Source organism: Homo sapiens, chromosome 2 (genome assembly GCF_000001405.40).
Source record: "Homo sapiens chromosome 2, GRCh38.p14 Primary Assembly".
Lineage (NCBI taxonomy): Eukaryota > Metazoa > Chordata > Mammalia > Primates > Hominidae > Homo > Homo sapiens.
Genome location: NC_000002.12, coordinates 61932486 through 61955643, shown reverse-complemented (window position 1 = coordinate 61955643; position 23158 = coordinate 61932486). Strand labels below are relative to the sequence as shown.

The window sequence follows — 23158 nt, the reverse complement described above, 5'->3', positions numbered from 1 at the left end:
CACAAACTCAAAATGAATCAAAGACAAAAAGTAAAAGCTAAAATTGTAAAGCTTATAGAAAAAAACAAACAGAAGAGAACTCTTTGAAAGCTTTGGTTAGCAAAGAATTATTAGATACAACACCGAAAGCACAACCAATAAAAGGACAAACTAATAAACTGAGCTTCATCAAAACTGAAAACTTACGCAGTTCAAAAGAAAAGAAGTTAAAAAATGCAAAGACAAGCTAGGTACAGTGGCACATGCCTCTAGTACCAGCTACTAGGTACCAGGGAGGCTGGGGTGGGAGGATCCATCGAGAGAGACAGAGAGAGAGAGAGAGAGAGAGAGAAAGAGAGAGAGGAACTTCTGGCAATCCTCAACCTCAGCTCTAGCAATCCTCCTGCCTCAGCCTTCCGAAGTGCTGGGATTACAGACATGAGCCACCACACCCAGCAGCAAAACATTTAAATAGACATTTCACCAAAGAAATATGGGAATGATTAATAAGCACATAAACAGAACTCAGTCATTAGAGATGTGGAAATAAGTAATTCAAAATCTTAGCTGTTGGAACGCCAAATTATTTTGAGCCTTAAACTCGTGATTTATAGGGCTTAAGTCACATGACAAGTAGCTATAACCTAGGCAGCTGCAAACCTATTTCTTTGATTATACTATCCTTTATCAGGCTGGGCATGGTGGCTCACGCCTGTAATCCCAGCACTTTGGAAGGCCGAGGCGGGTGGATCGCTTGAGGTCAGGAGTTTGAGACCAGCCTGGGCAACACGGTGAAACCCCGTCTCTACTAAAAATAGAAAAACTATTGTAATCCCACCCTTGTAATCCCAGCTACTTAGGAGGCTGAGGTAGGAGAATTGCTTTAACCTGGAAGGTGGAGGCTGCAATGAGCCAAGATCGTGCCATTGCACTCTAGCCTGGGCAAGAGAGCGAGACTTTGTCTCAAAAAAAAAAAAGAGAGAGAGAGAGAGTGAAGCATAATGGTTTAGCCTGCCCTCTAGAGTAATACTATCCTTTATCTTTACCTACAGTTTTATAAAATGTTGCAAATGACTAAAAGATGCCAGGGAAGACTCCTCTCTTCACTGTTAATCTTCATTATAGATTAACTTCCCTCTTACCTTTCTCACACAAAGACTTCATGACTATCACAATAAGACAGAATGTTAAATACATTCTTTTAAATTGGAAAGAAAATGAAAACCAGCTATAAAGAAAACAAAACAAGCCATGGGAGGGAAAAATGCAAAATGTAACTAATTGATCTGCTATAACTCATAAACCAGCCTTGTATACAAAATGTTATACTCCTACCAAACTTCTTTCTTTTCTGCCTATATAAGCAAAAACTTATTTCAGAGCAATGACTCCATTTCTCTGGAGTCTCCTGGATGGCTATTCCCAGTTTTTCACTTAAATAAACTCTCTTTTTTTTGAGACAGAGTCTCACTCTGTCGCCCAGGGTGGAGTACAGTGGCGCAATCTCGGCTCATTGCAACCTCTGCCTCCCGGGTTCAAGTGATTCTCCTGCCTCAGCCTCCCAAGTAGCTGAGATTACAGGTATCTGCCAGCTAATTTTTTTATTTTTAGTAGAGATGGGGTTTCACGATGTTGGCCAGGCTGGTCTCGAACTCCTGACCCTGTTATTCGCCCACCTTAGCCTCCCAAAGTGCTGGGATTACAGGCATGAGCCACCGCACCCGGCCTGAATAGACTCTTTAAAGTGGATTTTGATTATTTCAGGTTGCTAGAGAAATGCAAATTAAAACTATAATGATACACCTACTACGTAACCCACAAAAATTAAAAATTAAAAATTATTTTAAAACTATGAGGTACTACTACACATCTATTAGAATTATTGAATGGTTTGTATGTATAGAGAGTATGTATATGTGGTATTTTCCTACCTCCAAATGGTATTAACCAATTAATAAGAGCTCTATTCTAAATAGCTCAAAGAAAAATAAATGCAGCCAGGCACAGTGGCTCACACCTGTAATCCTAGCACTTTGGGAAGCCGAGGTGGGCAGATTGACTGAGCTCAGGTGTTCAAGACCAGCCTGGGGAACATGGTGAAACCCTGTCTCTACTAAAATACAAAAGAAATTAGGTGGCATGGTGGCGTGCATCTGTAGTCCCAGCTACTCGTGAGGCTGAGGCAGGAGTATTGCTTGAACCCAGGAGGTGGAGGTTGCAGTGAGCTGAGATTGCGCCACTGCACTCCAGCCTGGGCAACAGAATGAGACTCAGTCTCAAAAAAAAAAAAAAAGAAAAGAAAAAGAAATACTTACATAAATAATCCTAAAACTCTCAGAAATATAAAAACTAGGCTGGGTATGGTGGCTCACACCTGTAATCCCAGCAGCACGTTGGGAGGCCGAGGCTGGCAGATTACCTGAGGTCAGGAGTTCGAGATCAGCCTGGCCCACAAGGTGAAACCCCGTCACCACTAAAAATACAAAACTTAGCTAGGCATGGTGGCACACCCCTGTAATCCCAGCTACTCAGGAGGCTGAGGCAGGAGAATCACTTAAACTCAGGAGGTGGAGGTTTCAGTGAGCTGAGATCATGCCACTGCACTCCAGCCTAGGCAACACAACAAGACTCCGTCTCAAAAAAAAGAAACTAACCTCAATATTTTTCAAGTGTTGGCAAGGAGGTCAAAGAACTGAAACTATTATGAACTGTTAGTAGGAGCACAAAATGGTGCAGTTATCACCATCACTCCTGCAGTTTATCAGTTTCTTTAAAAGTTGAACATACACTTTCCATTATGTTCAACCATTTCACTCCTAGGTATTTACCTAAGAAAACTGAAAGCATACATCCATAGAAACATAATCGCCCAGTGGGTCCTTCCTGCCCACTGCACAGACAAAATCAATTCACTGAGATTGCAGCAGTCCAGTAAAGAAAGAATTTAATTAATACATGGCCAGCAACACAGGGAAACTGGAGTTATCACTTAAATCAGTCTCTCCAAGAACTCAGAAGCTAGGCAGAGTTTTCCTGGAAAATTTGATGGGCAGGGGGCTGGAGAATGAGTGCTGCTGACTGGTTAAGGATGAAATCATATATGTATGGAAAACATTCCTTATGGGCTGAGTCTGCCTCTGGGTGGGGCCACAGGACCAGCTGAGTCAAGAGTCATGGTTCTGGGTGGGGATCAGTCGGTTGCCAGAAAGTTTGAAAAAAATCTCAAAAGACCAATCTTAGGTTCTACATTAGTGATGTCATCTACAGGAGCACTTGGGAAAGTCACAAATCCTGTCACCTCTGGCCACAGGACTCCTGAGCAGGAAAGGATTATAAAAACTATGCCTATATTTTAGCAGAATTCAGACCCCTCACATAATCCTAATCTTGTGGCCTTTCATTAGTCTGACAAAAGTGGTTTTCGGTCCCTGAACAAGGAAGGGGTTAAGTTTTAGGAAAGGAATATTATCCTTGCTTTCAGGTTAAACTATAAACTAAATTCTTCCCATCATGAGCTTGGCCTATACCCAGGAATGAGCAAAGATAGCTTTGAGGTTAGAACCAAGACAGAGTCAGCCATGTCAAACTTCTTTTACCGTCACAATTTTGCCATGGCAGTTTCACAAACATATGCAAATGGTCATACCAGCCTTATTATATCATACAATGGACTAATGCTCAGCAATAAAAAGGAATGAACTATTGATACAAGAAACATGAATGAATCTCAAGAATAATTATGCTGAGTGAAGGTAGCTAGACAAAAAAAGAGTATTGTATGATTCCATTTATATAAAACTCTAGAATATGTAAACAAATCTACAGTGACAAAAAGATCACTGGTTTCCTGACAGGGATGGTTTGGGGAGAATCAAGGGCGAAATTTTTAAAGGGACACTGGAGAAATTTTTGGGAGTGATAGATATGTTCGCTATCATGTTGAATATCATGTTGATAGTTTCGTGGATACATTCATATGTCCCTTTATCAAATTATATGCTTTAAATATGTGCAGTTTACTATATCCCCATTATACAGCAATAAAGCTGTTAAAATAATGAAAGTCCCAGGTAAGAGTTTTAATATATTTTAGAAAGATTTCAATATTAGGGCACCTACTTAGATCCACAGAGTTGGAATAAAGATTATTTTAAAATAAAAGTAATTTGAACTGAAGATGCAGAAAGATTTTTTTTTTTTTTTTTGAGACAGAGTCTCGTTCTGTTACCGAGGCTGGAGTGCTGTGGCACGATGTCGGCTCACTGCAATCTCTATCTCCCAGGTTCAAGTGATTCTCGTACCTCAGCCTCCCAAGTAGCTAGGACTACAGGCACGCGCCACCATGCCTAATTTTTGTATTTTTAGTAGAGACAAAGTTTCGCCACATTTGCCAGGCTGGTCTTGAACTCCTGGCCTCAACCTATCCACCCGCCTCCACCTCCCGAAGTGCTGGGATTACAGATATAAGCCACTGTGCCCAGCCGCAGAAAGACATATTACCTGAACTTCCCTTATCCAACTTCCCTCTGGAAAGCCCAGCTGTCATTAACCCTCTCTCCGTGGGAGTTTCCTGGAATTCAGCTGCCATAGAGAGTCTGCCCATTGCCATTGGCAGCAAAAAGGCCAACAGAACCATCTACACCTTCCAATTGAAGCCCTAAACCCCTCTCCTCCATTTTAAGTTGGTAAACAATAGTTCCTCCTTATCTGCAGTTTGGCTTTCCCTGATTTCAGTTTCCCATGGTCAGTGAAGAACTGAAAATATTAATTGGAGAATTCCAGAAAGAATTCACAAGTTTTAACTTGTGCGCCAATCTGAGTAGTGTGATGAAGTCTTGCACCCTCCCACTCCTTCCTGACCTGGACATGAATCCTTCCTTTGTTCTGGGTATCCACGCTGTATATGCTGCCCAAGGTCACTTAGTAGCCTTCTCAGTTATCAGGTCAATTATTTCAGTGTCACAGTGCCTGTGTTAAAGTAACCTTTGTTTTACTTAGTTATGTTCCCAAAGCACAAAAATAGCGATGCTGGCAACTTGGATATGCCAAAGAGAAGCCATAAAGTGCTTCCTTTAAGCGAAAAAGTGACCTTAGCATTCCTTGGCCAGGGTTCAGTACTATCAATGGTTTTGATCATCCACTGGGGTCTTGGAACATAGAGGAATCCCATATTAATCCATAGGGGATTAGGGGGAACTACTGTATAAACCTTTTATCTCTGACTATTGAGTGAATTACTCATCACTGAGCACTCCCATGACACACATAAATAAACCCTGTCTTTTCTCCTATCAACCTGCCTATTATCGGATAATGTGCAGGTCCCCAACAACTAAACCCAGGTTGGAGGAGGGAAAGTTTTCCTCCCAACAGATTTGTCAGTGAGGTTGGGATGGCTGGGATTTCCTGCTTGTTCTGGAAACTGCAACTGAAATCCCAGGACCTATGACCCAGCCAGTGAAAATAAACATATTACCTGTCAGACCCTAAATCTCGGGGTCCAGCTGAGTAAGCATGTTAAGAGCTTCTGCTTTCCTTTTCTAAAAGGGATTTTCCAAAATCTAGATTTATAGGAGGAAACACTTTAGGAACTAGTTCTTCGGGTACTGTCACTCTTGGTTCAAGTACTCTTATAATAGATCCTTTCCTTCTCAGGGATAGCCATAGTGTCCTGTTTGTTTCATTTTGTGTCCTGAGACCTTGGCTTGAATCCAGTGACTGCATTCTCGTTATTGGTTTTCTACCTGCCAGTGGGTCTATGTCTGCAGGCAGGCAGCCAGTGGCCTGGGGGCCTGAGATACTTTCCTAAGGACCATGCCAGCTCTCAAGGGAGTCTGTCTAAATAAAAGATCTCAGTCCATAAGGGCCTGCGTCATCTCTTTCCTTGCCGCCTTGCTAGTACTGAGGAATCCCATTTCAGCATCACCTACCCAGTGTCAAAAGTATCTCACTTTTGTTGGAGGCCACGGACACAAGTTTTCACAAACATCATTCTTTTTTTTATTTTAACTGAATCTGCCTTGATCTGGAATTGACAAACACTATTCTCATTGCCTGCAGCAAAAAAGATTTTTATTTCTTCTCTCTTTGGATATCTTTGGGAGTGACTTTGGAACAGAGGCTCCATCTTCTACACACTTTTTGGGAACACCTATTGCATCCATGGGTAAGCCATAAATAAAAAGGCTTATTATTTCAGTCACATTTTGAATGACTGTGCTCTCTGAAGCTGGGTTAGAATCTAAGGCTTCTTTGTTTGGAAGGAACTCGTTGGGCTGGAACTCTTCTTCCCAGTTTTGGTTTTGAGCCTCTCTGTACTCCTCTTAGGCTAGAAGTTCTCCCTGGCTCTTTGTTTCAAGGCTTCTCGGTTCTCTACACTTCACCCTGCTCTTCTCATGGGAATTTCTCAGTCAACTGAAACCCTTCCTTGTCAAAACCCTGCTGACTATATGCTCTGCCACGGCAGCACTAGCTCTTTCCCTTCCTTTCTTATTGGCATAACTTTACTAAGCATAATTTAGAACTTCAATGGCTTCATTTTTAAATTTTTGCTTTAAGAGACAGGGTCTTGCTATGCTGCCCAGGCTGGTCTCGAACTTCTGGGTTTGGACTCAAGTGATCCTCCTGCCTCCACCTCCTGAGTAACTGGAATTATAGGTGCAAAGACACCGTGCCCAGCACTTCAATGGCTTCTGTGAGAAAACCTAAATATCTCCCAAGCTGGCTCCTCTGAGACCCATCCCTTCAGACTCCACCTCCTCAAGTCCCTGTAGTCACTGGAATTTTAGGCATTCTGCTCCTTCCCTAGGGAGATCTTGAAGGGGACTCAGGGACCTTGAAAGCAACCACCTGGGGCTAAAAATGATAAATGGGAACAGAATTTAGTCTACATCCTCCATAAATACAACAAGACAAAACAAAGTCTTAAAAGTCTCCTCTGCAAATATTGGTAAAAAGTTTTAGCCCTCATATTGAGCAATTTGTTCTATCCACTAGAAAAATATTTCAGATAAAAAAATAAAGTGAGGCAAAGACAAGAACAGACTCTTATATTTAAACTAGTGAATTCTGTATCACTGTATTTATGCCTGACTAAAGACTAAATTTTTAGAGTGAAAGTCATAATATTCTCTGCTTTTGTCTGTATATGTGTATATATATTATGCACATGTGATATTTTCCTACCTCCAGATGGTATTACCCAATTAATAAAAGAGCTCCATTCTAAATAATGGGCTTAGAGAAAATAAGCACTTACATAAATTAAGTAGTCCCGAAACTCTCAAAAATATAGAAAACTAACTTAAATATTTTTTAAATGTATGTGTTTTTGGAGTTAATGCCTGCAGGACATAGAAAAAAGAAAAAAATAGTTTAATATTGTTGATTTATTAGCTAGGTTATGGTGCACACTTGTAGTCCCAGCTACTTGGGAGGCAAAGGTGGGAGGGTTGCTTGAGCCCAGGAGGTCAAGGCTGCAGTAAGCGGTGATTGCACCACTGTACTCCAGCCTAGGTGACAAAAACACAACAAAAATAATATTGTTGATTTATTAAAAGATATGTCTTCAATGTCTTCAGAGTTTTCCAAATTAAGTATAATGCAGACATTTATTTTATATGTATACTTTATTGATATTTTATTTGTATTTATATTTACATATTTTATTTATTGGGCTTACTGATAAAATAAGCTAATATATTTATTAGATGTTTAAGATCATAAATTTACAGATGTGATTTTAATCAAATTGAGTCTCTGTTCTGACAAACTATTTCAACAATTGTGTTTCATAAGTCTTAAAAGTAGAAATAAGACAGGCCCTGGTGCATGCCTATAAGCCCAGCTACCTCAGGAGGCTGAGGCGGGAGGATTGCCTGAGGGTGGAATTTTGAGAACAGCCTGGGCAACATACAGTACCCCACTTCTCCAAAAAAAAAAAAAAAAAGTACAAAAAAAAATTTTTTTTGTTTGTTGTTTTTTGAGACAAATCTCGCTCTGTCGCCCATGCTGGAGTGCAGTGGCGCGATCTTGGCTCATTGCAACCTCTGCCTCTTGGGTTTAAGCAATTCTCCTGCCTCAGCCTCCCGAGTAGCTGGGATTACAGGCGCCCGCCACCACACCAGGCTAATTTTTTATTTTTAGTAGAGACAGGGTTTCACCATGTTGGCCAGGCTGGTCTCAAACTCCTGACCATCAGGCGATCCGCCCACCTCAGCCTCCCAAAGTGCTGGGATTACAGGCATAAGCCACCGCGCCTGGCCTAAAAGTACAAATTTTTTTAAAAGAAAAAATTATTTGCTCAAAGGCTGTTTAAAAAATAAAAAAAAAGTCATTTCCAAAATCTGTTTGGTAATTTGAAACCTTAAGTTATACTAAGTGACAGGTATTCATTAAATATATAGATTGTTCTAAGTAAAATAAAATACTGAAACAGTTACTAAACATAAGTTTAAATTATATATGCTTTTAGTACTTATTTTTATAGAGAAACTAAAGATATTTGGGTCTCTTAGTAAACATCTACTTTTGACAACATTGAGAAGTTTTATTATGAAGAAGTTTATATTTCTAGAACATGTGAGATGCTATATTCATAAAATTTACTAATCTGCTAAAAAAATGCTGGTATGTGACAGACAATTCACGACTGTCTACTTCCTAGATTTCCCTGTAAAATAAAGATTAATTGTTAAAAATAATTTATATACGTAAACAAAACTACTAGAAGCAATAAGCATGAAGGGAGACAACTCTGTATGAAAAGTATCCAAGGAATGCAAAATATGTTTTTGTAGTTGTTTAAGAGGTTGTTGAAAGGTTGTTCCAGAATGAGAAAGAGAAAAGGACAAAAACCTGAAGGAATATATGAAGTTGTAAAGGAAATGTGGAAGAAAAAAACAAGAGAAAAAAACTAGTATTTTATATGGTCGAGCTGGCTAAGACTGAATGGGTTTATTTACGAGGTTTTAAAATAAGCTTTAATATCAATAGTGTACTGATGTATAGTGTAGTAAAACTAGTAATAGTGTAGTAAATAGTAATAGTGTAGTAAAACTAGAGTTCAATTTTCTCTCTCAAGGGACTAAATTTCTTGGACTACTAGTCTGCTCTTCATGAGAGACTGTGTAAAAGATTTTTCTTTACTTTTTAAGTAATCTGCCTAGGAAACAAAGATTCTGTGTCTTATTGGAATAATTTCCAGTGCTTTATCATATCCTTATTTAAGAGAACCAAGTCTTCTTTTAAAAAAGTGACCTGGGACCCTATTTAATCAAACATTCGAACCTTTTGACATTTTGCCTTCTCAAAATCAAATCCTAAATAAAATCTTGATCTCAAACTGAGATTTTTCCAGAGGGCCCCTTGAAAGTCTCAAAGGGTTTGTTTTTTCAACTTTTAAAAAGAGAGATGTTAAAAATAACTAGGTTTTCCTGAACTTCTCTCTGATTAATTTTTTTTAATTAGGTTTATTTGACATGTTAAATTGCATGGGAAACATTGTAGAAGTGATGCTTAACCTTCTCTTAAGTTATATCTGTGTAAAACAAAAATAAAAATTCAAAGGCTCCCACAACCATCTGAATACACTCCTTCCTTGGCCAGGGCATTCTAAAATTTAACCAGGAAGACTGGTTCAGGCCATGAAGGGAAGTGGAGGTAGGACATGCCTCATCACACCCCTCTAGCATCAACATTAATGCAGACTTTAAGTCTGATAAGAAACATTTACAATCTATTTTCTCTAAAACCCGCTACCTGGAAGTTTAATCTGCAGCATAAAACCTTGGTCTCCACAATCCCTTGTCTTAACCCAGACATTCCTTTCTACCGACAGTGACTTTCAACCAACTGCCAATGAGAATGTCTTTAAATCTGCCTATGACCTGGAAGCCCCCACTTCGAGTTGTCTGACCCTTCCACATTAAACCAATGTAAATCTTACATATATTGATTGATGTATTATGTCTCCCTAAATTGTATAAAAGCAAGCTGTACCCTGACCACCCTGGGCACATGTCATCAGGACGTCCTGAGGCTATGTCGTGGCTGCATCCTTAACCCCAGCAAAATAAACTTTCTAAATTCACTGAAACCTATCTCAAATATTTTGGGTTTACATTTGGCAACCTGAAAGGTCTTCTGAGTGCAAGTGCCCCTGACCTTTGACAAATCGCCTACTGGTGCTTGGTACCAGCTTGATCTATCTTTACTCTCAAACCAAGAGGATAATTGGCTGAGGCCTGGGAGGCCCCACACCAGAGAATCCCTGATCTCCCAAAATTTGGTCAAGATCTAAAGTTTATTTTGTTGTACAACTCCTTTTTCTGAAGTTTTACTTGCTCCAACAAGGAAGGCAAGTTTTCCTGCTTCCATAATGATGGAAGGCAGCTAACTCCTTTCTGGAGTTTGAGTTTTTTCCTGCTTGTAGCATAGTAGAGAGCAGTCTTCAACCTGAGACCCATTCCTAGGTAAGTAGCTGAACTGGGCTTTCATTCGGCTAAAGTTACAATTAACAATCAGCTGGTCTTAATTTCACCTTACCATTGGAGCACTCAGTAATCATATTGTTGGGTTTTTGTTGTTGTTCTGGTCTTTCTCCCATCAGGTTTGACGAGCTCCAACTCTAACCGACTTGGCCAAATCTGAATGAGAATTCCAATTATGGGGAACAAGGCCTCCGAATTGGCTAAAATTCCTTGCAGCAGCAAAAAGGAAAAACAAAACAAAACCATGCACGTGGTTTCTGTCTTTGCTTCCTTGTCTTTTCTTCCACCTTACTCCTACTTCCCCTTCCCCTTCCCCATCTTTGCTGCCAAAAAAAAATCTAGAGAAGCCTTCTAATGACCCGAACCCCTTAAAGAACTCAGAACAAAGGCACCACTTGCCACTGTTTGGGATGTCCTGTTTTCTTTATGGAGTTTTCACGAGTGATGGGCAGATTCTTTTAGGTCTACAGTTCTGCTTTCCTGTATTGCACTACCTGACTCTGACTTTTGGAGATGCCAGAAATTACCTTGTACCATGAGAGGATTTGGCCTTGGCATGTGTAATGGCAGATGAGAGCTACAAAGTTAAGAGTGGCTGAGGACAGTTTACAGGAAGTGGTCTTAGCTGGTTTAGCTAAGCTCCTAGGAAGTTGTTGTCTAGGATCCTAATTCTAGTTCGGAGGTGCATTCTTACTATTATTATTATATTTTTTTCTTTTTTTTTGAGACAGAGTCTTGCTATGTTACCCAGGCTGGAGTCCTCTGACACCATCATGGCTCACTGCAGTCTCAACTTCCCAGGCTCCAGAAATCCTCCTCTTCAGCCTCCAGAGTAGTTGGGACTACAGATGTGTGCCACCATACCCAGCTCATTTTTGTACTTTTTGTAGAGACAGGGTCTTGCTATGTTGGCCAGGCTGGTCTTGAACTCCTGAGCTCAAGTGATCCACCTGCCTTGGCCTCCCAAAGTGCTAGGATTATAGGCATAAGCCACCACACCTGGCCCAGAGGTGCATTCTAAAGAGTCTTCTCATTGCCTTTCCTCCTGCAATTAATCTCGATTGGCTCATGTGCACATTTGTGTGAGGAACTGAACTATCATTTTCATAGATGACAGGCTGAGTTTCCTCAGCTCCAAAAAGAAAGGGCATTTTGCTCTTTCCAACCAAAAGGCGTCCCTGGGTGACTGGGGGCCAAGTGGAAGTGCCTGCAGGGTTGACCCCCTACAACGTGTAGCAGCCCTACAGGGAACTCTCGAGAAAATTAGTTTAAAAAATTATTGTCCAGGAAATGCATACAGGAGCTGGTCATTTTTTGTTTTGTTTTGTTTTGTTTTTTTTGAGACAGAGTCTCACTGAGACGCCAAGGCTGGAGTGCAATGGCGGGATCTCGGCCCACTGCAAGCTCTGCCTCCCGAGTTCAAGCAATTCTCCTGTCCAAGCCTCCCGAGTAGCTGGGATTACAGGTGCGTGCCACCACACCCGGCTGATTTTTGTATTTTTAGTAGAGACGGGTTTTCACCATATTGGCCAGGTTGGTCTCGAACTCCTGACCTCAAGTGATCCACCTGCCTCAGCCTCCCAAAGTGTTGAGATTACAGGCGTGACCCAAGGCACCCAGCCTCATTCCTCACTTTGAGCCCTCCTCATGGTGCTGGACCTCCAGAAAGAGAAACTGAGACACATAAAAGGGCAGAAATGACTCACTGGTGACACACTATGGAGTCCCACCCACAACCAGCACACTTTGACCCACTCCACTAAACCTTAAGGCACAGCTCAGTTCCTCCTTTTAAGAAAAAATGTGGGAAACAAATAATTTAGGAATGAAAAAACACAAGGAGAGTGGTCCCTCTCAGGCACCCTGTTTGGTTTCATGACCCCTCTACTTGAAAGTGGTTGTGTAATGGAAGGGCATGCCAGGTTTTCCAATACTGCAGCTGGTTACACATTATAGGTCTGTTCTTGCGCACATTTTAAACTGATGGGCAAATTACATCAAGAAAAATTCAGAGCTCGAAAGTCAATCTGCAACTATAAAGTTCCTAAGTTCTCTATCTCTCTGCTTTCTTTTCAGCCTGCTTTAAGTCTGCTGTTACTTTTCTACTGAGATAAAATCCACTGTTTGCATCCAACCGTTTCTTTTTACTATTGTTTGCAAACTGGTAAGTCTCTGTTAATATCTCATGGCTAGAGTTCTGAAGCATAAACTACAGGAACTTTGTATGAGTGTATATATATATATATGTGTTTAGGTATATGTACACATATTCTGTTATGTGTTTTTGGCCACAAGGTACCAGATTGACTTACAGGTAAAGAGTACTCATAAATTAACAGCCGGACACAGTGGCTCCTGCCCGTAATCCCAGCACTTTGGGAGGCTGAGGCGGGCAGATCACTTGAGGTCAGAAGTTCAAGACCAGCCTGGCCAACATGGTGAAACCCCGCCTCTACTAAAAATACAAGTTAGCTGAGCGTGATGATGTGTGCCTGTAATCCCAACTACTTGGGAGGCTGAGGTATGAGAATCACTTGAACCTGGGAGATGGAGGCTGCAATGAGCCAAGATCACACCACTGCCCTTCAGCCTGGGCAACAGAGTGAGACATCAAAAAAAAAAAAAAAAAAAAAAGGCCAGGCACAGTGGCTCACCCCTGTAATCCCAGCACTTTGGGAGGCCAAAGCAGGCAGATCATGAGTGCCACTGCACTCCAGCCTGGGTGACAGAGAAAGACTCTGTCTCAAAAATAAACAAACCAACAAACAAACAGCCAGGCGTGGTGGCTCATGCCTATAATCCCAGCACTTTGGGAGGCCGAGGTGGGTGGATCACCTGAGGTCAGGAGTTCGAGACCAGCCTGCACAACATGGTGCAACCCCATCTCTACTAAAAATACAAAAATTAGCTGGCCGTGGTGGCGCATGCCTGTAATCCCAGCTACTCGGGAGGCTGAGGCAGGAGAATCGCTTGAACCTAGGAGGCGGAGGTTGCAGTGAGCCAAGATCATGCCACTGCACTCCAGCCTGGGCGACAGAGCAAGACTGTCTCAAAAATAAATAAACAAACACGAGGATGTGTTTTTTGCTGAAGAAAATGTAAATTTTTTTCCTAGTTAAGAGACTATTTAAGCATCACTTTAAAATAAAGGAAAAACTGTACAAATAAAACTAAATGGATAAAAAGAAAAAGTAAGCCAGGACAAATAAAGTTACCTCTGAGGCCTGTGGTTACCAAGAAGATAGTCAATGTTGGGGAAGGGCACAACCAAGTAACTATTAAAATCAGAGGATATAATGTAAAGGAACTGTTCTGTTTCATAGATTGGTATCATCAGATTCTGGAGAAACTTTTATAGTAAGGGACTGTAAAAATGACCATTTTAAGGACAAAATTCTTAATTTTAAATGCTACAGAATGAAAGAGCTTGTTTGGGTTAATGCAGGACCCAAAGCTCACTATTAAACAATCACTGATGAATGTATGTGATCTAAATGCACAGAAAGTTATTCCTGAGACAACAACCAGCCTAGTGGACCAAATAAATGCCACTGTAAGGTTTGCCCTGAGAACGGGACTTCCTGCTCTCCCTATAAAATACCAAGTAGAGCACCGCAGATGAAACAGTTGATATGCTTCATATGCAAGCCATATGGAACTAGCTTTATAATGACCAGGATATTCTCCTACCTAATATGTCCATAACGCAGTTCATGGTAAATCTGAAGGCTAAAGGGGCCCCTTTTACATGGGTACCCCTCCCACAGAATCATATAATTGCCTGAGAAGCCTTATCAAATTTGCTGTCCCTCATGGTCTTACACATGCTTAATAAAACACTGGAGTAGGCCAGGCAAGGTGGCTTATGCCTGTAATCCCAGCACTTTGGGAGGCTGAGGCGGGTGGATCACCTAAGGTCAGGAACTCAAGACCAGCCTGGCCAACGTGGTGAAACCCCATCTCTACTGAAAATACAAAAATTAGCCAGACATGGTGGCAAGTGCCTGTAATCCCAGCTACTTGAGAGGCTGAGGCAGGAGAATTGCTTGAACCCGGGAGTCGGAGGTTGCAGTGAGCCAAGATCGCGCCACCGCACTCCAGCCTGGGCGAGACTCCATCCCAAAAAAAAAGGGGGGGTTATTAACAAAAAAAAGGGAAAGGAAAAAGGGAGCGAAAGAATTCACCCCAGCCGGGCGCAGTGGCTCACGCCTGTAATCTCAGCACTTTGGGAGGCCGAGGCGGGCGGATCACGAGGTCAGGAGATCGAGACCATCCTGGCTAACACGGTGAAACCCCATCTCTACTAATATATAAAAAAAAATTACCCGGGCATGGTGGCAGGCGCCTGTAGTCCTAGCTACTCGGGAGGCTGAGGCAGGAGAATGGCCTGAACCCAGGAGGCGGAGCTTGCAGTGAGCCGAGGAGTTCGCGCCACTGCACTCCAGCCTGGGTGACAGAGACTCTGCCTCAAAAAAAAAAAAAAGAATTCATCCCAGAAGAGTGATAGAAATTTTTGGATGGTTATTCACTATTTGCCCTAGACTGGAAAATGTTTTTTAAGGCAGCAAAGGTTATCATGAGAAAGCTGACATTTTCTGGGGCAATGCTGAGGCAAATTAAGATATAAATTTGACGAAAAGGCCTGAGTCCCTTGGCTCAACTCCCTGCTGGGAACCCAAACCCTTTTTTACCAGAAAAGGTAGAATGGTCTGGGGGTAGAAAAGTTCCTGGGACCAGAACATAAAACCATACAGTTTAACAGAATTATGAAATCTGAGATGTTTACACAGACTTTATGTAAGGTAGTTGTGACTCCTTTTACCTAAATGTCTTATGAAAATGGGTACTGTATGTGACTGGGGGATGTTTTCCCTATCTAGTACTATAAAACTGAAGGCAGGTAAATCTGCCCTTTGACAAATATTAACTGAACTTACTAAATGGGAACTAGAAAGATTGCCTTAGCCCACAAAATATAGGGGAGAAGCTGGAGTACTAGATGGGACAAATCCTCCACTTTGTAGCCTTTTGTGGAGTATTGGGACTTATGACAAAAAACTGTGAGCACTTCCCAATAACAACTGCTGGACTAGAGAATTTCTACTTGAGGGACATTTACTGCCTTGTTATGGAATATTGGCTTGAGCTACCCCTATGCTAATGGAAATAAAGGTGTTCAAAAGAGTTCCATGATAAAATTAAAATGGTTTACACAGGCTCTTGCTACCTGGGAATACAAGAAGGAAATACTCATAAGCAAGGACCCTCTTTTTGTCCCTAGGACTGATTCTAGTTATCTGAGGAGCTGCTAGATTCTACAGTGCCTGATAGCTCTCATGACCTGTTTGGCTTGTGAATGGCAGTTCTGAGGTGAACAAACACCTTGTTTGGAAGGCTGCTGCTCTGGTTAAAGAACGGTCCAAAAAATTTTTTTTATAGTTATTTATAGTTTAGAGCATTTGGGTGAACTATGTTTTTGTAAGCAAATTTACCTTTCTGAGTTGTCCAAAATTCAAATTGTGATTTTATGACAATATAGTTATTTGCATAAGTTCAGTAAGAGTCTTTTAGAACAAAACAACTGGAGACACTGGTTATTTTACCAAGACTTTGACTAAAATAGCATATTTTTAGGTAAAGTTCCAGCAAAGCCAACTTGAAAGGAGCCTACATAGCCAATCAATTCTTTTTTTTTTTTCTTTTTTTTCTGAGACGGAGTCTTGCTCTGTCGCCCAGGCTGGAGTGCAGTGGCGCAATCTCGGCTCACTGCAAGCTCCACCTCCTGGGTTCACACCATTCTCTTGCCTCAGCCTCCCGAGTAGCTGGGACCACAGGCACCTGCCACCATGCCCAGCTAATTTTTTTTTTTTTTTTTTTGTATTTTTAGTAGAGACTGGGTTTCACCGTGTTAGCCAGGGTGGTCTTGATCTCCTGACCTTGTGACCCACCCGCCTCAGCCTCCCAAAGCGCTGGGATTACAGGTGTGAGCCACCGCGCCCGGCCAAGCCAATCAATTCTTGCTGCACTTTATGTGAATAATCAGGCAAAGTATAATAAGCCTAAAACTTAATTTGCATACAAATTGATCTTACTATAATTTCTCTTTAATAGAAAAGGAAGTCTAGAGAGAGAAATTGTTTCAAAGGAAAAGTGTAACACTTGACACTAACTTTTGTTTTTTTGAGTATAGATTGAATTATGAATTATTTCTTGGCTACAATAATCCTCTAGAGAGTACCAGATTATAATTTTTCTTCATATCTTTAGTTGGTGCCCTAATGGAAGAGGTTCCTTTTTCTGTTCTGACATACAAATACTCTTTTGATTGTCAAAATATTAATGTTATTTATTTCTCATTACTTACAAGGAAACCAAAATTATGGTATTCTTAAAACCAGAGATGCCAACCTCTCTCATTTGGCATCCTGTTAACCAGTGGAAGAGATCCAAGTTACTGGCAGCAAATCCGTAGGAGTCCACAGCAACTTCAGTCCTTGCCTCTCCACAAGAAAGAATCTGACTGAGGGGCATAAAGCAGAAAAAGAGACCAAGGCAAGTTCCAGAGCAGGAATAGAAGTTTATCTGAAAAGGCCTTAGAACATGAAAGCAAGGAACGTGTGCTTGGAAGAGACCCAAGTGGGCACGTGAAGGTTAAAGGGAAAAGGTCAAGTGCCTTGTTTAACCGTGATCCTAGGAATTTTATAAGCTCGCCTCTTTCCCATGTTTCTTCCTTTAGGGCAGACTTTCCACACGCCCAGGGCTTTCCTTATCCTTTGGAACTGAACACACGCAATGTATTTAGGGAGTTATAAACATGCCCATCTGAGGCTTCCTTCCCTTTTCCAGTGGAGCGTGCCCCCAGAAGATCATACCTCACCATTTTTTTTTTTTTTTGGTCTCTTAATACGCATGCCCAGGAAGCTGCTCCTCCGTGGGGCCTGCAGTCAATTAACAGTTTGATGATGTTAACAGGTGTGGACCATCAGGAAATGGCCTCTCCCTGGTGCTGCCAAATTATCATTTTTAGACAGGCAATGCAATAATTGCTGAACCATCACCCGACATTCTAGTTGGTAGAGGAGAGCCCTCTCTCCTGCCCAGCTCATGCCTAATTACCTGTAACAATCCCACTGGGCCCAATCTGTTTTTCACTGCAAATGCCTTGCTACTAAGACTATACAGGCATCCTCCCTCTAAGCCCAGGGACTGTCGCATGAGAGTGTAAGGGCGAGTTTTGAAGGATATAATTAGGTCAAGGTCAGACCCTCCAAATCAAGGATGGGTACAAAGATGCCTGAACAACTGGTAAAAGAAGAAAATAATTACTGACAGGAATAATGATACCTTGTGACAAAGCCTCCTGGGTATAATACTCCCAGTTATGAGTTGTACAGATACATATTTTAAATTTTTTCAGAACGGGTATGTTTTGTATAGCTAATTGCCATAAGTCTGTAACCAAAACCAAGATTACATACTAAAACTAAAAACAAGATTGAGCTATGGCTCAATGCGTAGCATAGAAGTTAAAAATAAGTCAGTTTTGTAACCTCACCTTTGGCTTTTTGTTTGTTCATCTTCTACTTAAAAAACAAAATAAATAATAATTATAAGGGGTAATGAATGCCTGTCCATGTCTATTCCTATCTGGCTTAGGATAATTAATTGGCTATAAGTCTTGTTTACTCTAAGTCCCTTGGCCATACGGAGTCCCACTGAAGGACAGGATGGACCAGGGGCAGGCCAGCCATGCCATCCCAACAATACTATGGGACAAAATTAAAATCTGGTGGCCACTGATGTTGCCTCTGGCAAATCTTGGACAAAAGGGGGAAAATTCGAAGGCTCTCACAACCATTTGAATGCACTTCCTCATTGGCCGGGGCACTCTAAAATTTAACCAGAAAGACTGGTTCAGGCCATGAAAGTGAAGTGGGGGTAATCATCATACCCCTCCAGCCCTAATATTAATGCAGACTGTAAGTCTGATAAGAAACATTTATAATCTATTTTCTATAAAGTCTGCTACCTGGAGGCTTTATCTGCAGGATAAAACCTTGCTGTCTACAACCCCTTATCTTAACCCAGACATTCCTTTCTTTAACAATAAATCTTTCAACCAATTACCAATCTGAATATTTTTAAATCTACGTATGACCTGGAAGCCCCCACTTCGAGTTGTCCCACCCTTCCATATCAAACCAATGTAAATCTCACACGTATTGACTGATATATTAGGTCTCCCTAAATTGTATAAAAGCAAGCTACACCCAGACTACCCTGGGCACATGTCATCAGGACCTCCTGAGATTATGTCATGGGCAGGTCCTTAACCTTGGCAAAATAAACTTTCCAAATTGACTTAGACCCAGTCTCATATTTTGGGTTCATATCTGTATGAGAAAATGTTATTAATATAAATACTCCAAAAACTGTATGGAAGGCCAGGTGTGGTGGCTCATGTCTATAACCCCAGCACTTCAGCAGCCAAGGCAGGAGGATCGCTTGAGCCCAGGAGTTCAAGACCATCCTGGGCAATAAGGCAAGACCCTGTCTCCTTTTTAAAAGAACTATATGAAGTTTCTAGAAATTTGTCAATGCACTCACTGTCCATAATATATTCTGATATAATGTTATCAATCATAATTCCAGTTATTATCTTAAAATGTTGTTTGGCACAGAAATGACCAAATTTCCTTGTCAACTCCATTATTTTGATAATGAACTCTAATAAAATCTTTAACCATGGCCATTTTAGGTCTTTTGTCATTCACATATAATTACTCTTATATTCGAATGCTTCCCTGAAGGCTCACAATCAGCTACAAGCTGGAATGCTTCATATTCAACATAAGTGACTGCCTCAGAGACCCATAGAAAGAATTATAAAGGTACTCTGGGGTATAGATTTCTCATGACATTGCTTACATAACTTTGAAATCATACCACTGGACTGGGTAGGAATTTCCAGAACCCTACCAGAGACGCTAATAGGTGCATCAAAACTGATAACCCTCATCTGTAAAATAGGAATGAAAATTAAAATTTAAAAAACAAAAAAAACTGGGCTGGGCCGGGCATGGTGTCTCAGCACTTTGGGAGGCCAAGGCCGGCGAATCCCCCTAAGCTCAGGAGTTTGAGACCAGCCTGGGCAACATGGTGAAACCCTATCTCTACTAAAATACAAAAAATTAGCCAGGTATGGTGGCATGCACCTGTAATCCCAGCTACTTAGGAGGCTGAGGCAGGAGAATCGCTTGAACCCTGGAGGAGGAAGTTGCAGTGAGCTGAGATAGCTCCACTGCACTCCAGCCTTGGCAACAGAGTGAGACTCTGTCTCAAAAAAAAAAAATCGATAACCTAAGATCAAGCATATGTCCAATTATCATTCTTGCTGCACTTATATAAATGATTAGACCAAATTTAATAAGATTAGATTTGGAAACAAGAGTGGTCTTCATTTTATCTTTGATCAAACTGGAACCACGGCACTAAGTGAAAACAGAGGATGACTGTACAGAGAAATTTTACCTTTTTTTTTTTGAAACAGAGTCTTGCTCTGTCGCCCAGGCTGAAGTGTAGCAGTGTGATCTCGGTCGGCTCACTGCAACATCCACCTCCCAGGTTCAAGCAATTCTCTTGCCTCAGCCTCCCAAGTAGCTAGGATTACAGGCACCTGCCATCATGCCCAGCTAATTTTTGTATTTTTGTAGAGATGGGGTTTCACCATGTTGGCCAGGCTGGTCTTGAACTCCTAACCTCAAGTGATCCACCCGCCTCAGCCTCCCAAAGTGCTGGGATTACAGGCGTTAGCCACCACGTCCAGCCAGAAATTTTACGTTTCAATAGAAAACTACAACCTACCCTTCCTGGGTTATCAGACTGTAGTTCTGTTATTTGTCTCTGAGTTATTTTTCACTACTCTGTAAATTGGATCCTGCTGTCTTGCATATCTTGTCGGTAATTAATGTTTCCAATTTTTCTCCCATCCTCCTGACTTGAAGTCACTAGGAACTAAAATCTGACTGCCTGGATCTTTATTGAGACTCTAGCTTCTCCTGTCCCAAAGCCCTACAAGCTGAAGCTGGATGACTTGATATAAACTAAAATAACTTATTAATACAACCATTATGGCCACTCGGGAAGTTCACTGAACACCCACATCTTCCATGCTCTGCTCCAGGAAATAACCTTGTTCTTCTCTTGTCAATCTGTCTTTTGTTACAGGAATCTATTCCAATTAAGAATTTATGAGGCGGCCAGGCACAGCAGCTCATGCCTGTAATCTCAGCAATTTGGGAAGCCAAGGCAGGAGGACTGCTTGAGCCTAGGGGTATGAGACCAGCCTGGACAACATAGCAAGACCCTGTCTCAATTTAAATAAAAAAGAAAAGAACCAATGAGGGTTGAGAGAAAAACAGTTTTCCCTCTCTATACAGACAAATCAGTGACTGCTGTACTAACTAGCCCCTTTTCCTTTTTGTTTGCCTCTCAATTTCACATCCCTTTCTTAATTGAAATCTGTTTTGTTTTCATGACAGCCTACCATTGAATTAATTGAAATTTTTTCATTCTATAACTTGAACTTGTTAAGCCTTTATAAAAAAAATTTTTTTTTGAGGCAGGGTCTCCCTGTGTTGCTCAGACTGGTCTCAAACTCTTGGGATCAGGTGATCTTCTCGCCTCTGCCTCCCCAAGCGCTGGGATCACAGGTATGAGCCATCACACAGGGCCACTCATTAAGCCTTTTAAAAGACAAAAATAAGTTTTACTTACAAGTTTCTTCCTTCATTTTGATACTCTAGATGAGCATTCAAGGCTCTAAATGAGTTTTCCCTCAAGCCTAAGGCAAAATTCATTTACTGTGGACATCCCATGGTTCATTCTTTATGAAAAACCATCCCCATGGCCCTTCCAGGACAGCTGTCCCAACTGTCCCACTCAAGAGATACTAATAACTGGAACTTATTTTTCATTCTGTACTACCTCTCACATTCCCCCACCATCCCCTGACACACACCCCTATCTCAAATTCATTTTGTATTTAAACATATATAGTTCTGGATGTTTAAACTGGATTTAGGTATTTTGGATTACACCAAAAAAGAAAGGCCGGGCGTAGTGGCTCATACCTGTAATCCCAGCACTTTGAGAGGCTGAGGTGGGCAGATCAACTGAGGTTGGGAGTTTGAGACCAGCCTGACCAACATGGAGAAACCCCATCTCTACTAAAAATACAAAAAATTAGCCAGGTATTGTGGCACATGCCTGTAATCCCAGCTACTCAGGAGGCTGAGGCAGGAGAATCACTTGAACCCGGGAGGTGGAAGTTGCAGTGAGCCAAGATCACACCATTGCACTCCAGCCTTGGCAACAAGAGCGAAACTCCATCTCAAAAAAAAGAAAAAAAGAAAAACAAAAGTTGCTTGTTGTCTTTGTTCATTTTCTTTTACTATAACTGAATACCTGAGACTGGGTATTTAGCTCACAGTTTTGGAAGCTGCAAAGTCCAAGGTTGAGGGGCTGTACCTGGTGAGAGCCTTCTTACTACTATGTCATATCATGGCAGAGGGTATCACGTGTGGGAAAAGCATGGCAGCTCAGGTCTCTCTTTCTCTTCTTATAAAGCCACCAGGCCCATCATGGCTCACCCCTACATTGATACATAAGGGCTGGGCTCCGGCTAAACCCCACCCTTAAGCCTGGAACCTCTGCACTAAGTGAAAACAGCTGACCCAGTTTTCTGCCCAAATGTTGACTTTTTGGCCTGCCACGTCCTTACCCCCCACACCCCTGCCACCCTGAAAAAAACACTTCAGCTGGCAGAGCAACACAAGCAGCTGAGTGTTAGGGATACCAGCAGCTAAGCATCAGGGATACAAGCGGCTAAGCAATGGGGATACAAGCAGCTGAGCAATGTGGATACAAGCGGCTGAGCATTGTGGATACAAGCAGCTGAGTGGCAAGCAGAGAAGAAACTGAGCATCAGAGACGATGGATAAATGCGGCTAATTTCAGATGTGCAGCTTTGGAGAGGGGCCCAGCCAGAGACAGCTGGGCTTCAGGGAAACATCACCTTCTTCCCACACAATCCCCTTTCCAACTCCCCATCCCACTGAGAGCCACTTCCATTGCCCAGTAAAATCCTCCACATATACTACCCTTCAATCTGTTTGTGTGACCTGATTCTTCCCAGATGCCAGACAAGAACCCAGGTGCCGAGAGGGCAGGAGCTGCCACTCTGACCCTCCACTGAGCTGGTTGGCACTTGGTCATCCCTGGACAGGAGAGCTGAAAGAGCACTGGTTGTAACACGCTTGGATGCTGCTACGGGGTCCACACAGAACCTACTCCTGCCAGAGAGGATCAACTGGGCTGCTTCCAGCATTCATTTGCTCTCGTTCCTGCACTCGCTCATGTGCTCCCTCATGCAAGGGGTTTGGGCACACGGCAGCCAAGTAAACAAGCCACACCCCTGTCACAAGTCCAGCAAGGGGGTCAAGGGAATTATCCCATCTTACCATGACCTTTTCTAATCCTAATTACCTCCCAAAGACCCCACCACCAATCAACACATAAATCTGGGGATTAAGTTTCCAACATATGAAATCTGGAGAACACACTCAAACCATAGCACTTATTCACTTCTTCTTTCTTCACTCCTTAGACATAGTGTCAACCTCTCCTAT

The 23158-nt window shown here is 41.8% G+C and overlaps 1 protein-coding gene and 1 long non-coding RNA gene across 8 annotated transcripts in view; one reads left to right on the top strand and one right to left on the bottom strand.

The window, feature by feature from the left end:
* COMMD1 (copper metabolism domain containing 1) overlaps nucleotides 1-23158 on the bottom strand; it is a 247668-nt gene that overhangs the window by 180415 nt on the left and 44095 nt on the right. Inside the window, exon 1 of one of the 7 annotated variants that reach the window (XM_011532559.3) lies at nucleotides 10525-10549. The exons of the other annotated variants lie outside the window; for them this stretch is intronic. Coding sequence (XP_011530861.1) covers nucleotides 10525-10527 — 3 coding nt within the window. The 5' untranslated portion in view covers nucleotides 10528-10549. Of the gene's footprint in view, nucleotides 1-10524; nucleotides 10550-23158 lie in introns of those variants that run through there. 7 annotated transcript variants of the gene reach the window in all.
* LOC124906012 (uncharacterized) lies at nucleotides 5851-20767 on the top strand. The gene is made up of 3 exons (XR_007086335.1): nucleotides 5851-6145; nucleotides 12546-12633; nucleotides 20697-20767. It is a non-coding gene; the product is annotated as an uncharacterized LOC124906012 (long non-coding RNA).